The sequence below is a fragment of the Homo sapiens genome, chromosome 1 (genome assembly GCF_000001405.40).
Source record: "Homo sapiens chromosome 1, GRCh38.p14 Primary Assembly".
Classification (NCBI taxonomy): Eukaryota; Metazoa; Chordata; class Mammalia; order Primates; family Hominidae; genus Homo; species Homo sapiens.
Genome location: NC_000001.11, coordinates 59,674,438 through 59,694,725, shown reverse-complemented (window position 1 = coordinate 59,694,725; position 20,288 = coordinate 59,674,438). Strand labels below are relative to the sequence as shown.

General features: G+C 40.4%; 1 protein-coding gene across 56 annotated transcripts in view; it reads right to left on the bottom strand.

Annotated features, from left to right (window-relative positions):
* FGGY (FGGY carbohydrate kinase domain containing) overlaps positions 1-20,288 on the bottom strand; it is a 466,353-nt gene that overhangs the window by 68,005 nt on the left and 378,060 nt on the right. The window lies entirely within an intron of this gene.

Below are 20,288 nucleotides of genomic sequence, written 5' to 3'. Positions count from 1 at the left end.
ATTGAGACCCCATCTCTTTAAAAAAAAAAAAAAAAGACACCTAGTTATCTTGAACATCATAGCAGTTTTCAAACTAATTTTTTCCAGAAATACTTTTTAATATATCGAAGAAGACTCTGAGAAATCCTGGCCTGTGGAGACCTTGGTCTCTGAGAAAATATTTCTCATGGTTTCTACCAATTCTTTGTCCTGGTTGTCCCTTTCCCATTGAAAACTTCATAGCCAAGGATCAGAGCAGGCATGCATACTGGGCATGACAAAAAAGGCTATGTAGACAATGGAAACTTTGAGAAAACTGATAAGACATGTGAACCAGTCCACGAACTGACCAAAAGTATTTTGACATTGACTATGGAGGTCCTCACTTGTATCACATGGAGCTTTCAGTATTTTATTTATTTATTTATTTATTTATTTATTTATTTATTTATTTATTTAAGACGGAGTCTTGCTTTGTCGCCCAGGCTGGAGTGCAGTGGCGTGATCTCAACTCACTGCAAGCTCCTCCTCCCGGGTTCACGCCATTCTCCTGCCTCAGCCTCCCGAGTAGCTGGGACGACAGGCGCCCGCCACTGTGCCCAGCTAATTTTTTGTATTTTTAGTAGAGATGGGATTTCACCGTGGTCTCGATCTCCTGACCTTGTAATCCGCCCTCCTCAGCCTCCCAAAGTGCTGGGATTACAGGCGTGAGCCACCGCGCCCGGCCATTTACTTTTTTTGAGACAGGGTCTCACTCTGTTGCCCAGGCTGGAGTGCAGTGGCGTAACATTGGCTCACTGCAACTTCTGCCTCCCAGGTTCAAGCAATCCTCCCACCTCAGCCTCCCGAGTAGCTGAGACTATAGGCATACACCACCACATCCAGCTAATTTTTGTATTTTTTGTAGTGACAGGTTTTCACCATGTTGCCCAGGCTGGTCTCAAACTCCTAGGCTCAAGGGATTCACTGGCCTCAGCCTCTCAAAGTGCTGGGATTACAGGTGTGAGCCACCGAGCCTGGCCAGCTTTCCCAGTTCTGTGCACGTATATGACTTCAACTGCTCTTCCTCCTCCTCTTCCTTCCTCTTCTTCTCCTTCCTCTTCTCCTTCTCCACCACCACTACCATTACCACCAGCTTTCACAGTTCTATGCACGTATATGATTTCAATTGCTCTTTCTTCCTCCTCTTCTCCTTCCTCTTCTTCTTCTCCACCACCACTACCATTACCACCATTAATATGTATGACACGCTGCCTGTGCCAGGCACTGTTCTAAATGTTCTTCCTGTATTAACTTACTTAATCATCACAACGACCTTATGAGGGAGGTGCCAGTGCCACCTCCATTTTACAGAGGAGTAACTGAAGTGTAGAGAGGTTAATTAAGCCACAGGTTTGTAACATGGGTAGAACATTTTACAGATTTACACTAAGAAATTTTACTGATAGAAAACTGAGGCTGAGCATGTAAGTGATGCGTTCAGATGAAGCAGTCTGTAAGCAGCCATATCTGTCTGATGCCAATGCAAACTCTTTCTAGCACGTCAAGCTGTCTCTTGGTGTTAATATTTTGTATTTGTGAATTACTTTATAGTTTACTAAGCACTTCCACATCTTTTATTCCATTTAAACCTTCTGACGATGCTTACACAAATATTATCTATCTTTTAGATTGTGAAATTGAATTTCAGAGAGTTCCTACTACTGGTAGTAATAATGATGATAAAATTAATGATAACTATCTTCTACTTTTGATGAACTGACTTGCTCAAGGCAACAGAGCTCAGCACGGGCAGATGTGAGGCTCAGACTCAAGTCTTCTGATGCCAAGTCCAGAGTTTCTTCCACCCTTGAAAGATGGGTCTCTCCAATATGACCATAGCATGATTAGTCTAGCCGCGGGAGAGGAGAGAGGTTTACAGCATCAGCTTGGCATTCAGTTGGCGTGGCTTTTAAAGTGGCTCAACATCTGCCATCAATTAGACTTCCTGTTGCTATGGTGATAGTTTATTATTGCTAGGCTGATAAGACGGCCCATGCAAGAAGACTATCTTCCTCTTTTTCCCTCCCACTCTACAGCAAAGTTTCTCCCCCAACTTTTTTTTTTTTTTTTGTCCTCTCATCTAACATAGTGGACCATTTGCCATATGATAATGATATAGTAGTTCCCAAATTGGGAACCCTGTTGGACTCCTGATGATAATCCTTGGAGTTAATGAGAATTTTTTTTCCCTTTTGCTTAAAACAGAGGCTTTGTCACACCAACTTTGGTTCAATTCATCTCTGACACTTATTAGCTCTCCAATCATGAACAAGTTACATAATTATCTTCCCTGGACCTTATTTTTGCATTTGGAATAAGTGATAAGAAAGCCTAACGGGCAGAGTAATTTTGAGAATTTTATATAATAAATACAAAGATGTCAGCACCAAGCTTAGAATGTAGTGGGTAAACAAGAAATGACAGTAGTTGTGATATTTAACATAATAGCAATGATTATTTACAAAGAGGTGAAATGAGACAGAGATTTAGAGTTGGAAGTCCGGGTCATTTACTTCCATTCATGTATCAACAATTCTAATTTTTCCTTCCATTGAACCTGTTCTTTTCCTTTATAGCACTTAACCCAAGATACATTTATTTGTACTTATCTTTTTAACTGTCTCTTCCAGTCAACTGCAGAGGTGATCAGTATTAGGACTATAGTTATTTTTCTTATCGTTGTACCTTGGGGGTATTTGTTGAATGAATGAACACATATTTACCAAGCAGCTACTCTATGTCAGGCTCCTTGTTAGCCATTGGAGATACAAAAATCACTTGAGCAAGATTCTTACTCTTGAGGCATTTACATAAGGGGTCTGTGAAAATGACAAAAATAAAGTAAGTGAGGCCTTCATCTTTGAATCCAAAAGGGGTTTTTTACAAATCCAATGACATAAATGGAATTAAATCTTCAGTAATCTTCTAGCACAAAGGACGGATGTGGGGGTGTATGGATATCTTAAGGCTGTAAGTACCAAGAAGAATTCAAACTGGTAGTGTTAAGTCCCCAAAGTAATCAGACTTTCCCTTTGAAACATACAGTTAAAAAAAAAAAAAAAAGAAAAGAAAAAAAAAGAACAAAAAAGAAAGAGAAGGCTTTTCTGAGGGCCAGCTCGTTGACTCCTCCCAGAACAGTCTGATCCCCTCTGCTAGTGAAGCAAGAGGTCAGATCCCCAGACGGAAAATCAATCTCCAAGAGTGGCTGGATAGAATTTCTAATTCACCAGTGCCATGACACGCAGTCTGTTTTCAGCCAAGGAGAATGAGGCCCAGAGGCTTTAGCTTCCCCAATCCACTGTACATTATCAGGCTGAGCTGACACCCCTCCGTGCCTGGAACACACAATGTTTGACAGTAACACAGACAGGCACAGTGACCCCATGGTGAGGGCCCTCCAACCTGCTTTTCTCAAGGTAGGCTAGGCTATTTTGAAGTTACTTTATTATTGAATTATTAAGTATCATTATTAAACATTATAATATTTTCAGTTATTTCCTTTGGAAAGATCTAGTCCAGTGCTTATGTTCAGCAAAGACCCTCCAAGGCTGCCAGGCAGTGGGGAAAGAGGGTGTGATGGATAAGCCAGAGACACAGTTCACCTTCTGTTTTCTGTATTGGCCTCCCAAAGGTTCCACTGCTTTACATTTTTGAAAACCAGAATCTGATTCTTTCAGTTTAAAGATGAGGAAACTGTGGCCCAAAGAGGTAGACCTCTTGTTCCAGATCATCCACTGAGTTACTAGTAACAGAACAGACTCTAATGACTGGGGAGTCAGTCTTTGAAAAATTAGAGCAAGTGAGAACCGTTAAGCAGCAGTTTACAGTCACAGCTAATGTGCACAAGTAAAGTTGTTTCTGGAGACATAGGTCAGATTTTACCTGCTAGCGACTTTAAATCTAAGTCCATCCCCAGCAGTGCCACTGCTTTAAGTGGCTGGGTTTCTGTGTAACTAGTCACAGGTGGCTGCCTTCTTAGCCAGCTTCAGGAAGATTACAAAGTCTCTGTAAAACTTCACCTCCAGTCTGGTACAGCATACATGTATCCAGCACTGACTACTGGCTAAGGATCAGTAAGACTTGGACCCTTATATGGAAGCTCACACTTGAGTGAGATCAGCAAACATGGCAACATCTAAGGGCGGTGCAAGAGATGGGCACATGGGGGTAGGGCCGTGTAGAGGTGGGCCTCACCAAGATGAGTTTCCCAAAGGAGCTTTATAGAGATGGGTTTCAGTATTTACAGTGAACAGACCACAGAGTCAGAAAATCTGGGTTTGTATCTGAGCTTCACCTTTTACCAGCTATGTAAGCTTGGGAAAGCGCGTGGCCTCTTGGTGATTCAGGTTCCTTGTGTGCAAAGTACAACTAATATCAGGATCTCATGGGACCGTTGTGAGGACTAAGTGAGCCAATAACCACAAAGTGCTTAAATGGCAGCTGGGGCATACTAAATGAATCCCCTCTATCACTTTTAGGGGCCCCTTGAAGACAGGAGTCCCAGCACCCCACCATACTATAATATGTTGGAACCTCACTAAAGCCTGTTGTTTCCTAGTCATTGAAACACTTGCTTCAATTTCCATTTTAGGATTTTCTATAAATTTCTCCTCCAGCCTCTGTAGTGGTTAGTCAGTTTACTGAGATGAAGACAACTGCTGTAGTCCAATTATCCAAACCAGTCTGGTTTGTCAAGATCCCTCTTCATCAGAGACACTGACAGGTGAAACTGAAAGGGCCAACTTGGTAGGAATTTCACTGCCGTCAACTCTATCCAACACACAGGCTCCTCTAGGCCCAGGTGTCAGGGAGGGGTTGGGGAGGGAGGAGGGAGTAGATTTTGAGCTGGTAGAAAGTGGCTTGCTCCCCATCTCTCAATGACATTGCTTCAGAAGGTGCTTTCTCCATCCTGAAATTCTCAAATGTGTGATTTTATAACACCCTATACACAAATGAACTGTAGTGAAAGAGGATAGCACTTTAGGGGCATTTAAAGAGTATTCCCTTCTATTTTAGAGACTCTTCAAAACTGTGAGAGATAAGTAATAAACTTTTATTATTACTCACAGGCTGAACTAATTTAAAAGCTATTTTTCTTAAGCAGAAAGCAGTATTATCTAAGAAGGACTTAACGTTTTTTTTTTTAAAGTGAGACTATCAGCTTGCAACATTTTTTTAAAAGACAGTTAAAGGATAAGGGAATACTGAGCAAAAAGTACTCCCAAGACTGCTGATCAAATTCCTAATTGATCTGTTTGTGGTTAACAACCCCTACCTGTAATCAACTGTGGTCCTATCTATCCAACTTTCTTTTTCACTACTCCTGAACTGGGACCCTTCCCAGGAGTTAACGTTGATCTCCGTTCTGTCTGTATCTGTTTCTTTGCTCTCACCAGCACCTTTATCTAAAAATCCCTCTTCCTGCTGCTTCTCTGCCTGTCCTAAATTAATGTTTCCACTCCAGCCCATTTCAAGCCCCATTTCTTACACAAAGCCAGGCTACTCTTTCCTGCTGGTAGTCACTACCAGAGAGTAGATTATGCAACAGCACTCTCTGGTTTCAGGTCACTTTATATATACTTCTCTAACCCAACTGTCTGTTCCTGGAAGATAGGGTACCTGGCCTTTCTCCCCAACCTTTTAAAAAAATGTCTAGGCCAGACGAGGTGGCTCACGCCTATCATCCCAGCACTTTGGGAGGCCGAGGTGGGCAGATCACCTGAGGTCAGGAGTTCGAGACCAGCCTGGCCAATATGGTGAAATCCTGTCTCTACTAAAAATACAAAAATCAGCCAGGTGTGGTGGCAGGTGCCTGTAATCCCAGCTACTTGGGAGGCTGAGGTAGGAGAATCACTTGAACCAGGGAGGTGGAGGTTGCAGTGAGCCAAGATTGCGCCACTGCACTCCAGCCTAGGCGACAGAGTGAGACTCCATCTCAAAAAAAAAAAAAAAATTCTAAAAAACACTTGGTCTTATACTACATATGGTCCAGTTCTTGGACGTCCCCAAGTGGAAAGAGCATATGCTTGGGGAGAGAAAAACCTGCATTCAAATTCCAGGTTGAATATGAACGTTCGGTATGAACTTGGGTAAATTCCTTTACTTTTTTGATTCTGCTTTGTCATCTGTAAAAAATGAACACAATAAACTTTCCACATAAACCTGTTCTGAGAATTAGGTGAATAAGGCTGAATATTGTTTCTGTAAGGTCATTTCTACAAGACCAGGGCAATATGAATTATGTATGTAGTTTTCTTACTATCTGCTTTGAAACTGACAAAAAGATTAGAAAACTTTGAGGAACAGATATAAGTCCCATAAACAGGTTCTAGGACATACAGACTTAAGCTGCTAAGACCACTACTTAATTGCAGTGTGACTTTGGGTAAATCACTTGCCCTCTCTGAGCCTCCATTTCCTCATTTTTCATGTGAGAATAATCACATATCTATTATAGTTACTTACCTAGAATAGTGAATGGTCCAGGGCTCTGGCTCAAGAAAGAGGAGTTCCTATTCCTTCTGACTAGACACTATCTTGTAGTGTGCTTGGCTATGACTTGTACTTGAATCTTGTCTCCTCAGAGAGGGGGTAAGCTACCTGAGGCTCCTGGCCTCAATGCCAAACTCAGCTGGGTGTATAGGCAGTATTCATCAAAGATGCTTAGGTCAATTTATTGTCTTTTGAGCTTTAGTCCAAGTGAACGTCTCTCCATGATAACCAGCCATCCCTTCTCCAGTTGGCTTGGCTCACTCCAACAGGGAGAGGAGGAGAAGTGAATTCTCTATAAGGACTACCTTTTCTTTTAGTAGTTAAAAGCAATGATATCAGTCAGAGTCCAGTCAGGTAGCTGGACTACCAGTCAAGTTAGCTAGGTAGCCCAAAGACCTACTCTAGGTCTTTGAACAGGAGGAATTAAATATAAGAAATTAGTTTCAGCCAGACGTGGTGGCTCACGCCTGTAATCCCAGCACTTTAGGAGGCCGAGGTGGGTGGATCACGAGGTCAGGAGATCGAGGTCATCCTGGCTAACACGGTGAAACACCATCTCTACTTAAAAAAAAAAAAAAAATAGCCAGGTGTGGTGGTGGGTACCTGTAGTCCCAGCTACTCGGGAGGCTGAGGCAGGAGAATGGCGTGAACCCAGGAGGCAGAGCTTGCAGTGAGCCGAGATTGTGCCACTGCACTCCAGCCTGGGCGACAGAGTGAGACTGTGTCTCAAAAAAAAAAAAGAAATTAGTTTCATTAGTGACAGAAGAGACCTAGAAGCCCAACAGGTTGTTGAAGCCACACAGAGGTTACCGACAGCAGACAGATGCTACCCCTCTTAGGAATCAAGGGATGACAGGAGGCAGTGGTGTGACTAGAGCCAGGAACAGGGAATGTCAGTATAGAACGGAAACCAAAGAAAAGCTGAGTGGCCAGAACTGGGATCTGAGAGAGGCTGGGAGCTGGAATCAGACAGAAAATGCAGCTGCTGCTGTAGTGAAGGGGAGAAATGACCTGACTTCTGCCTGCACATCAGTCATTCTCCCACCATTACCTCCCAATGGCCAAGCCTGCTCAGAGGCCAGGTGCAAGAGAGCCTAGGAAGTGTAACACACAGCAGAGCAGGGGAAGGAGCACTCTCTGAGAGCAAACAGGCAAAGGACCAGCCCAGCCACCTTTCAGTAATATATGTAAAGCATTAATACAGCATGTGACTTATAGTCAGCTAATAGTAATGATAGATATCATCATAAATATTGCTATAATTTTGTATACCTCTCATTGAGAGTTTATTCATACTAGCAACTGTGCCAAATACTTCTTGCATATCATCTCATTTAATTTTCACAACAATTGCATGAGGTATGTGTTCTTAATAGTCTTATTTTTATACAAATGAGTAAGCAGGCTTAGAGAGGTAAAGGGACTAATCTAGTGCACAGCTACAGGATTGAAATACAGCTCGATTTATTACTTATAATATGAATCATACGGCTAATAGTAAAAGAGAGGGTACTAGATAAGCTGAATATGAAACTCCTCTCAATTTCTGGAGACCTATATTTCCAGGGCTGAGAGCCTAGAACACTCTGTGAGCATTAAGTTTGCCCTTAAAAAAGTAGAGATTAAAAAAAAATAATAGAGGATAGCAGACCATCTTTCAGGGAAAATATTTCATAGGGTAGCAATTGTCCAAATGGAGAAAAAAATACATCACTTAATGTGGTTTATAAAAGTCCACAGCGTTCTCTCTTAAAGGCAACAGGGTATTTTTGCTATGAGGATGCCAAGTTCAGCAGTCTCTGTGGCTTGCTGTTTACTGATATTTGATATGCTTCAACATCTGTTGCCCTTCTCGATTGACGGGTGCTTCATTTTAGCACTTCTCTGATGCCAGGCTTGTAAAAAGCTTTAGTACTGAGGTACTATGAGACACTCCTAGGTCAGTAACACAGCTTTGTTTGCAAAGCTGGCCAAGGGAAGGAATATTCATGGAAAAAGGTGAAGGGACATGCTATCTCTCTACCAAACTGGGTATTCTTGGTTCTATCACTGAGTCAAGTGACATCTCCAAAAAGCTATAAACCCAGCCTATCCTAGACCCGAAGTCAGGTTTCAATGTTATGATCTGGGCTCTCAGCAAGGTGGTATATAATGAATTCTGCCTTCTTCTATAAGAGTTCCATGGAAGGATTTCTAAGTTCATTTTTAAAGAAATAATGATTTTAGAATTTGGTATAAGGAAAAATGTGGTCTCTTTCAAAGAATTGGTATAATTCTTTGACTCCATATGACTTGACACTTTTCCCAGTTTTGCCTTGGTTGCCTGAAGTTCAGTCAAAGTAACCCCCTAGGGGATTGCTTGAACAGGTGTTTGAGGCTGCAGTGAGCCATGATTATGTCACTGCGCTCCAGCCTGGGCAATAGAGCGAGACCTCATTTAAAAAAAAATAATAATAACTGCCTAGTCCAGATCAGAGACCCATAGATAAGCCAGATCTGTCCCATAGATATTTGGTGTGGCACTCACCAATCCAGAATTAAAACAATCTGATTTTCAACATTCTTTGGCAGTACTTTGAATACAAATATTAATACTAATACTTTTCTAGTACTTTTCTCCTACCTGATACAGAATCAAATCACCTTGTCCTTTGCTGGTATCTTCCCATGTTTATATGTATATATATGTGTATTTTCCTCTTTTTACATCATTTCTAACTTATGAGTTTTATTCCAGTAACTATTTAGTCACTTATTGTAAGCTTTCTTAAATCCTTTATGGAAGCAGAGTATGAATGACAAATAAATTATTCTGTTCACTAATCAAAACTGCCAAGATCAGTGCAGCAGCTGCATTCCTACTGCATCCTAGGGCTAATGCTCCCTGGTGAGTCACTTGTGCCTGCTCTACCTGCCCCACCTGTCAAAGGGTCACCACAGCTGTAGGCTCTGCCCCACCATTCCCTCAAGCAGAAGGAAATAACTTCTTCCTCAGTAGTGAGAGAGAGGTCCGGACATCCTTGAGAAGCGTCTACCCTATTTCTAGCATGTGACATGCAAACCTAGCTATAGGTGCCCTCCAAAGCACAGGGCTGTGGGGGATACGCAGAGGGCAGGGCTGGAGCCAGACCACTTGAGTTTAAACCATCGTTCTGCCACTAACCATCTAGATGACCTTAGGCGAGATTTTCAATAGCTTGGTGCCTCAATTTCTTGCTTAATAGAGTGGCACAATGATGCCACCTACCTCATAGGGTTGTGGTGAAGATCAAATGAACACAGGGAATGATAATAGTACTTTTCTGCTGAATAGGCATTGTGCTAAATGTGCTTTCATTCACAGAATCTTTGCAGAAACTCAATGGGGTCAGTTAATATGGAACTGAGATCAGAGAAATTAAGTAGCTTGCCCAGCCAGGTGTGTTCACACAGCTAGCAAGCCGAGGAGATGGCATCACCGTGAGGTTCAGCAAGGTGACTTAGAGGGCTACTTTCTGCTGCTCCATTTGATTTCATCTTACCCAGCCTGTGATGGACTCAGCTCACTTACTCTTTCTACTCCTCACCCCACATACTTGGCAGGTAGTTGCTAACATATCATGAGACTGAGGATCCAGATGTTATTACTAATATTTACTATGTTGAGCTGAAATGGAGAGAGATTTGTCCTGGGTTGAGGCCCAAGCTCCTTCTTCCGCTTTCAGAGGAGGCACTATGCTGCAAAGATGAGGAGCATAGGCCTGGGGGGTCCCACGGTACCCTGAGTTCTAGCTCCGTCACCAGCCAAAGGTTGCCTCTTCTGGAAGACTTTCCCAGCCCTCTTAAGACAGTGGAAGTCACTCCTCAAATGCTCCATCATTCCATTGCAGAGTAATTGCAATGGAATCTTTCACAGGTGAGGCCTCTGAGACACAGAGAAACTAAGTAACTCACCCAAGGTAAGTGGCTGAGCCAAGATTTGAGTCCAAGGAAATAGTCTTTGCCATTACACCTTAGACTTTTTCATAACTGTATCCATCTGTGCCCAACCTCCCGCCACCAGTAGACTGGGAATTCCTTGGGTACCGACATTGTGTCTAATTCTTCCTTGCCCTGCTACTGTCTAAGGCTGTTCCCGTCACATGCAGGCTTGTGCTGATGAGCCTTGGCTTAAAAAATGAAATGGCCATCGAGGCCCCTACACATGACTTTTCCAGATCTAGTCCACTGTCATCTGTCAGCCCAACTATCACAGCCCACCCAATCTCCAGCAGCAGAGGAGAGCAGAAAATGCATCCTGGTATCACAGGAAGGACCTGAGTAAAAGGTGCATTAATGGGGGCAAAAACAAGCCAGCAGAGTGATTAATTTGGCTTCCCCTTCAATATTCTGTTTATACAAGTTCATTATATAGCACTTAATTACTAATTTGCCCTACTTAAACCAAGAGTGCTTTTAATTTTTAATGAGATAAGGGAAGAAGATGCCTTTACTTAGTAAGGAGCAGCTATTTTATTTCCTTCTCTTGTTTTGCCCAGCCAATTAATAACATTTCTAAGGAAATGCATCCCTCTCATGAATTCTTTCTCCCTATCTTCTTCCTGACCTCCCAGGTTTAAAAAGAGATGGCAACAGACAACAGCCACTTAGAAACAAACTGAATTCATCTCTGACCTGGCTGGCTGGGCTGGACAAGGCCTTGTAACGTGGAGTAACATCGTATTCACAAACAGTGCCATCTGATTTGGGGGGAGCTGGGTTTTATCTATTCCCAGGAATCATGCATAGCATATGTATACAGAACATAGTCATAGGTCTCCATATAAGGCAATCCCCCAACAACCCTGCTTTATTTCTTGGTGTTAATGTCAGATAATTTTAAGCACAGTCCTGGGATAGCCTACAAACAGTGAGGGGCATGGACTTTGGAGTAAGATCTGAATTTGAGTGCTGGCTCTCTCACTTGCTAGACCACAGGCACATTACTTAAACTTTCTGGCCCTGTTTCTTGTCTGTAAAGATGAAGTGAATAATCTAACTTGCAAGAATTAAATGTCATCTAAAGTACCTTAGCACAGTGCCAGGCTCAGGGTAGGTACAGAAAAATACTCGTTATTCTTCTCTTTAGCAGAAGTTAAGGTAGGAAAATCAAAACAAGGAAAGGGATTCCAGCGTTTTTATCATTACCTACAGAGCAAGGAATCTAGTTTAGTGCTATTCAAAGGGCCCATCTGTGGTGAAAGGAGTTGGCCCCAGGATGTAAGCCAGCACACCGGTTCCTTCATTGAGAACATCTTGCTATGAATAAAATGACAGCTGAACTAAACAGTACACTTGGTGACATAATTGATTTACATTCTGATGCAAGTTCCTTGTTTCATAGCAAATCTGAACAAACCATTTAGAGACTGCCCTCTAGTCTGCAGACCGCTCTGAATAGTCCAGGGTGGGTGACTCAGTTGAATGTCTCCAAGTGCTTCTGAAGATTCCTTCCCACCCTCCTCTGAGCTTAGAGATGTGGCCTTCTACAGAATACATCAACAGGTTCCCTTGCTCTCTGATTCTGATTCCAGCCAATGGTGAGGCAGGCAGGAGATTAGAGAGAGGGAGAATAGGGTTAACAGTGCAGCCCTTTTCTTCCAGGGTCACTGTGCAGTCTCCACACAGCCCTCTGTTCTGGGCATCCAGTAACTGCACTTTTCCCTCGCCTCTACAGGCCCAGCTGTTACAAACCCGAGGGTCACATTCTCCCTGTGATTTCTCTATGTCTCTATGACTGCAATTTTGTAAACAGTCCCTCTTTTAAACCCTCTCAAATTACTCAAATTTGAGGGTGCCCTCTGTTTACCTGTGAGGACACTAACATTTACCAAAGGGATATTTTGATATACATTTAAATTCTTGTCATCTATTTCTGATACTAGTTTTTAAAGTAATGGTAATCACTTAGCCCCATAAGAATCCATTTCCACTTGTGGCTGAGCTGAACAGTCTTTGGTTTGGGAATCCCAGGCTAGTACTTGGATTCTGCCTCTCTCACTTTCTAGCCATTGGCTTTGGTAACTCACTTACTCTCTCTAACCCTGTTTCCTCATTTGTAAAATTATTATAATATTATAGAAAATGTCTTTATATACAATTTTTCATATGGTGTAACTTTTTAAAATGTTCAAATTTCTTTGAAATGCATACAATTAAATACATGCTACTCAAGATTCTGATCCCACGCTAGTTTTTTATGGTTCACTGCAGAGGATCAAATACCTCTGTTAGGAAACTATAATTATGATTTCTTTTGTTTTCTTCTGCATATTCTTGATCATCTGCCTAAATGCTGCAACTGAAACTCTTTTAAGACACTGTACCTTCCACACTCTGAATCGAACCTCAAACTTTTTCTAGTAGTATGTATGTGTGTGTGTGTGTGCATGTGTGTGTGTGTGTGTGTGTATTTTTCAAGGCAATTTTCCCCATCACAGAATATTACTGATTTAACTAAAAGCCTTGTCTTTCCTGATCTCTCATTTGAATATTATACAGCATGGATTTCATTGCTATTCATGAGTTATTTTAGTGTAAAGAAAAAAAACCTATTTCTAGTTTATTCCAACAAGAATGTTTACAATAAAAAGTAAAGGCATAAATAGTAATTAGAGTGAGGAATTAATTACTTACAGGCACGTCTTTCTATGAGATAAATCTTACACATTTTTGTTTAGGTTTACACCAGTATGAAATGCCATCTTGAACAAAATCAAGTCAAACAGGTAAACCTTATTATAGAAAGAGAGTTCTGTAATCCTTCAAAGTTTCTAAGAACTTAGTAGATGTTTAGCCCTTGGTTGCTTTTATAAAAGCCCAATTCTTACATTCCTGAATAAAAATTGTGGGGGGAGGTGAGAGAGATATTTGGGAAAATGCGTTTTGTTAGCCTAAACCTTTGTGTTAATAACAATAGCATTTAAGTATCTTTTAATTCAAGTTATTTTAATCTATTAAAGTATTCCTTAATCTATTGTACTTCATTATTGAAGTATCTTTTAATTCATGTTCTTAATTAAAGTGCTTTTTATATCTACCTAAAGTGCTTCTTTTATCTACCTTTTTATAGCTACAAAAAGTAAACAGGCATATATTATGATTAAAAGCAAACAAGTAGAGCAAAATAATACTGGTGAGTATGGTCATTCTCTGGGGAAATGAATTAGAATATTTCCATGCCAAAGAGGGCACCCTGCTTATTTTTATTTCTGTGTTGGACACTCAACCAAGCAATGATGACAAATACATAATGCTATTTTTTATAAACGATACCACCTTGTGAGAGGTGTCTCAGTTGCCATAGTGTACTTCCCTAGCAATGTATATGTATCTACAGGATATGGTCTGATGGAATACAAAGAGCGTGGGCTTTGTATTAAACAAGTTATACAACATTTCTGAGCTTCAGAGTCCTCATCTGCACAAAGATTGCTGCTACCAACCACTGGGTTGCTTCAAGGGGTCTATGAAATGACAATGGATGGAAAGTAACAGGTCCTGTTCTTGGATCACTCTGTAAGGAACAAGAGAGTCAAATGATGTGTATCTTATATTGAAATAATTTCCTTAAAAAATTACAATTTTCAGCTAATGTTTTGACTTTTATACCCATGGTATCATTCTGCAAACTGGATTGAAACCAGAGGTTTTATAATTAATCAGAACCTGATCTATTTTTGTTTTATTCTATTTTTTTTTTTTTTCTGGAGGGGTCGAAAAAACTCTTAAAAAAAAAAAAAAAGAATGTATTGTTAACCAGGTGTGGCAATAAGAATAATGAATGTTAGGGCCAACTTCATATTCTTAATTGAATTCTTCTTTCAATTATTAATTATTATACCATTCCAAAGTTTTCTGTTGACTTTCTGAGGGACACTGACATATGGGACAGGATACTCAGAAAATTCAATCAGTAATCTGAATCTATTTAATTAGGAATCAGAATCTCATCCAGAAACACATGCTTAAGCAGCAAAGGGCAAAAGGCTACTAAAAAAAAAAGCTGATAATATCAGGACCATATGTGAAATAAGTAGGATTATAAGAGGCCTGGGGATGAAAGCTAAATAGAACTAAAATGGAACTAAAATCCATGGCAAGAGATTCCTTATATACAAGAAATGTAAACCCTGAGTTTTCAGACACTACTGATGGGAGTATAAATTATTACTATGTATCAGAACCCTAAATGCTGGGCACACTTTTTGCCTGAACAATTATATGCCTCTAATTTTATTTTATAGAGATAATTTAGGATGTGTGCAAACATTTAGTAACAGAGATGTCAGTTGCAGCATTCTTTAAAACAATGGAGAAAACCTAAATATTCAAGTCTGGAGGACTGGTGAAATAAGCTATAATATATTCTATTAGGTAGAAAATTATGCAGCCTACAAAAATGATAAATAAAGAAGTTTACTACATATTTTTGAGTATAGGAAAAAGGTCTAAAAAGATAAAACTTTATGCATTGTATAATACATTTTGTAATTTAAAAGTATAAAATGATTTTAAAATATGTACAAAAAGACTAAGAGAATAGAAACCATAATATTAAATAGTTAATAAGTAAATAATTTAAAATAGGTTATTTTAGGATAACAAGATCAATGTTTTCATATTTTCACTCATCTTAATTAAATTTTCTTATTTTTGTCCCCAATGAACATGAAATGTTAGTATTCCAGACAAAGAAAAAAATGCAAGTAAACTAAATTGAATGCACCGAGAAATGGGATGGTTTCATACTTCTGAACATCTACGGTATTTCAGTTTTTTCTAACCTCTGGAAACTAAAATAATGATAATCAGCTTTATTTTGCAAATAGCAAAACTGTTATTTATCGTGACAGAAAGCCAAATAGAGCTAAAAAAAAAAATCACAGAAAGTTGACTCTTACAAAATAAAATAGAATGGGAGACATGTTATATACAAAAATCATAGGCTCTGAAATGCATAACAGGTGATGAGTATAACTGGCCCTAAATGAAGTGAATTTCATGAAAAAGAACAGAAGTAGAGGTTTCAGCTAAGCAATGAGGATGTTTGCAAGGAATGACCTCAAGGGTAGACCACTGCGGTCAGCATGGATGGTTTATCTTGTGGGCACACATTACAGAAAGGGTGAGTAATCACAGCTCTCAACTGGCCACTTACATGTATTGGTCTTGAAGACACAGGAGTCTGTCTGGAACGTGACAGGGAAAGTTGATGGTGAGAGTGCATGGAGTCAGTGGTTTACAGGGGTGGCAACACTCACACAGTGGGAGGAAGGAAGGTCTGTGATTAATTGGCTGATTCCAAGGGCTTATTTTCTTTACACTGGTACTCCCCTTAAAATGACTGCTGAATGCATTTTGATCTCTTGTCACTGTCTCCTTTTACTGATTTTTGCTTCAGATGCTTCCTCCACTCCTTTTTTTCAAGGGTGGGGGGTGGTGGTTCAAGACAAATAGCACTGCTGGAATTAAAGCTTGTTTTGTCTAAATAGACTTGAATAAAAACTGCCCCTGAAGATAAGAAATTACAGAAAGCTAATGACATCTGCAGGGGGCCTGAAGGAAACAGAAAGTGGAGAGCCATTTCATGTTGCTGTCTCTTTGCCATTTGATTGAGTTTTCTCTCACAACGACTTGAAACTGCTTCTTGTTTTATTTATTTGTCCTTGTATTTCTTAGAATCTTTTAACTGTCTGTGCTTAGAAAGTGTAAGCATAGTGATATTTCATAAACTTAGTTTTTTTCCAGTTTATTGATTTTCCAGGACCTGGGAGCCTAGAGAAGTGTTATGGAACACTCTCAGCTTCTAATTATAATTATTTGTTTTCCAAGATATTCAGAATTACAGAGGATCATTTTGTACTCTACTGATGATGGGGGAGGGATCAAGTAGAAAGGTCACAGAGGTCAAGACTGCAGGGATTCCACATTCCTAAGAGTAAAGGGAGGGGAAGTGAACTGCCTTCTTTGTGTCCCCTCCCACTTATTCAATAGCTAAATTTTTACTGTGAGAGCAGCATATCTGTGGCTTGATTCCATATTTTTCATTAAACCGCAGATATAAAGCTGATCATGATTTGCCTTCAAGAATACTTGTCCACAAGGAGACTGTTCTCTTTAGTAAAGACACAGTTTTGAAAACTACTAAAAGGAAAACACCCTTTCTAAAGAGGGGCAACTCTTTAAGATAGTATTAGTCATTGTATTCTTTAGAATGAACGAATGGCTATGTCAGTATCCTTTGTGAGATCCGAATTTGACAAAGAAATAGTAAGAAGACTTTAGATGTCTAAAGGGAGAGAGAGAGCAGGAAAGGACAAGGGAAGAGAGACAGAGACAAACTAAGAGAAGGAGAATCTGAATGGATAAAAGAACAAAAGAAGGAAGCTAGGAATTGTCAGCATGTTTCAAAATTTGCAATATCAATAGATCTTGTTGTTGGCCAATCTTTCATTAAGGGCCCACCAGAATATTCCATCCAGTCTCCCTTCCCCTGATAAAATTCTCCCAGAATTGAGATACACAGAGTCTACAAAAGCTACAAGTAAAATCTACAGCTGTGGATCCATTGGTATCACCCAAGAAAGGTATAGGACTCTACCCCCGGCTGAAAATCATCCATTCAGGGGCCTATGAAAACCCTGTCTCCTCAAGCACATAAAAGTTTTTCCTACCTCTACTGTCTGGGTCCTCTGGATTCTTCCCAGCCTTCCCAGCATCTGAAGGAGGTGACTCTGGTTGAGTCTACCAAAATTGGCCTATCTAGATAAGAAGTGAAATCCTCCATCTAACCACCAGATGTGTGGTCCATGAGAAGATAAAACATCTGACTTGCTGGAATAGTTGAGGTGCTGGCAGGAATTGCTCAACTTTCTTAAGGAGGGGAAGGCAGGTACCCTGCAAACCAAGCCAGGGTCCCTGAAGTTCAAAGAAAAGACTGTGTTGAAGTTCAGGTTGAAAATATGAATCACAGAAAGAAAGCAATTCAATTTTGCCTCACCTTGCCAGAATCTGAAGCTGGTCCTCAGACCTGGGGCACAAAGGTTGGCCCCTCTTCTTTGGAGGGGAGCAAATGACGCCAAGTCTACATGCATTTTCATTTCCAAAGCAGTTCCAAATATTTTATCATTCTAATGATATTGATTACACCTGAGAGGTCACTGGAACTTTCAAAGGCTCTTTATCTCGATAGTCCCATATGGGTGGCAATTCTTATTTAAACATTAAAAAAAATACATAAAACAGACAAATAAAACAAGCACCCAGAGAGAACAAGTGACATCGTCTGAGGACAGTAAAGCAAGCACAGAGCTCCAGACTATGGGGAGTCTGTCAGGTAAGTGATGACAGATAAGACCTCAGGACTCTCTCAGCTGGTGGCTCCCTTTACTAGATTGTGTCTCCTGAAAACGATCAGGACAGGCACACACATCCTTGGGTTGAATAGGAGACATGAGCTTGTCTTTACAATGCTGTGAGCCTTGCAGCTGCTACTCAAGTCATCAGTTCCAAATCTGATCTACTATATCTTAGATTCTGTTACAGAAGACTAACAGCAAATCTCATGTAGTCAAGATGTCAGTGTGGAATTAAGCTCAGTTTCCCATTAGGGGAAGATGTGAGTGGAATTCCTTTGGAGCTGGAGATCCCAGTTTTGAATAAGATATCAATGAAGCCATGAGTCATGGTATGATGTATCTAGTATAGCAGCCTCATCTTGAAAGGCTATTCTCTGTTTGAGCTACAGACTATCTCCTGATTTGTGACCTATGGCATTTCTTTTCAGAAAATACACCACTGAACACTTAAGAAGCCAGAAAATATTTTTAAAGAAAAAACAAATCGAACAAATTAGAAAAAGAATGACAGGATAAGATATAGACCCAGAGAGACCTTCATTTCAATTCTGCTTCTGCCCTTTCTGTGTAGCCTTGGACAAATTACTTAAAACATCTCTGAAGCTTGGCTTCCTATCACAGAAGGATAAAAACACGCATCCTGCAAGCAGGATGACTGTCAAGATTAAATGAGGTGTCTTATCTCAGGCTACTATAACAAAATGCCATAGACTGGGTAAACAACAGAAATCTATGTTCTCACAGTTCTGGAGGCTCAAAGTCTGAGATCAGGGTGCCAGCAATGTCAGGGTCTCGTGGGAGCCCTCTTTTGGCCTATAGAAATGGACTTCTTGCTGTGTCCTCACATGGCAGAGAGAACAAGCCAGCTCTCTGGTGTCTTTGTATAAGGGCCCATCAGACCATCATAACCCATCAGACTAGGCTCCTGCCCTCATGATTTCATCTAACCCTAATTAGCTCCCAAAGACCCACCTCCATATACCATCACATTGAGGGTCAGGGCAAATTTTGCAGGAATACAAATATTCAGTTCACAACACAGGGTAACCTCTGCAGAACCTTAGTAAGCATCCCCCCTGTTTTAACTATTATAATTTGCCGCAGGAAGGGCAAGATATTTAATTGTGAGAACATCTCCGTCAGCTGATACACTAAAATAATAATTGACAATTCATTGATATTTCAACAACAAATATCTCCATGTGCTATTTTTGAGAAAGGACGAGACTATCCAGAAAAAGTCGAGAACTGAACTATACCACCTTTGTTTAAAGACTCACTCAGAATCCACAAGAATTCATGAGTGGATTTAATTCCTTGTGAGGGAGATTTCACAGTCATTAGTTTCAGAGGCTTGGATAGTGTGTAGTGTACCACATTTTCCAAAATGCAGTACAAACAGCATCACACTTTTACATCTGTCTGTTCCCAATAGTGTACCCTTAAATTTTGGATCTCTATGGCCCAATCTCTGTGGCTCATGAAGCATTGTTATAGGTATTAGGAAGATTATACAAAAAGCACCTAGCATAGTGTCTGGAACATAAGAGGTTCACAATAAACAAAGCTCTAATTACTGAGCTACTAGATACCTGGCTTGTAGTCCTAAGCTTGAGACCATGGGCAAGTCATTTGGACTCTGCTGCTTTGCTGAACAAATATCTCTTGAACGTTCAGTTGAGAAGTGGGAGCCAGACTTCTTGATTCTGGCATTTACTAGCTGTTTCATTTAGGCCAAGTTATTTAACTTCTTTATGCCTCAGGTTCCTCAACTATAAAATGGGGATAATAGAGCTATTGCAGGGACTAAATGAGCATGCTTGACACACAGAACTCACGATGCGCTGTCAATTACTATTACAGATAAAGGAGTGGAAGTACAGAGAAGACTGTTTAGGCCACAAGAGCTGGTAGGTAATCAAGCTAGGATTTGAGCCCAGGTGGTCTAATGCCAGAGCCTGTATGCTCTTAGCTTCCATACCACATTCATTGTTTACCTTGTATTATTTTAGCACTCAAAACCTCTCCACAAAGCCCCATGTGTGCAAGGTCTTTCGCAATTTGGTGGGAGGAAAAGTTTTCCCTCTCACCAGAAACTAGTATGTTTCCTCTTTTTGAAAGTAAGAATTATGCAATTTATCATGTGTTCTTTTTTGTCTTGCCTGCCAGGAAGCTCTGAGCCAAATTATGTGTTTAATCACAGCCACCAAATTGTTTCCTTCTTCCTATATCTTTGTTCCTTATTTTCCCTTTTAATTCCTTTTTTATTTCATACTGACAGTTTCATTTGTGTCTCTTGTTGATAGAGGCCTTCAAGGTATTTAGAAAATGGTGAGGTTGACATAAGCAAATAAAAATCTGAAATACACATGAAACACTGAAGTTTTGAGCCTTACC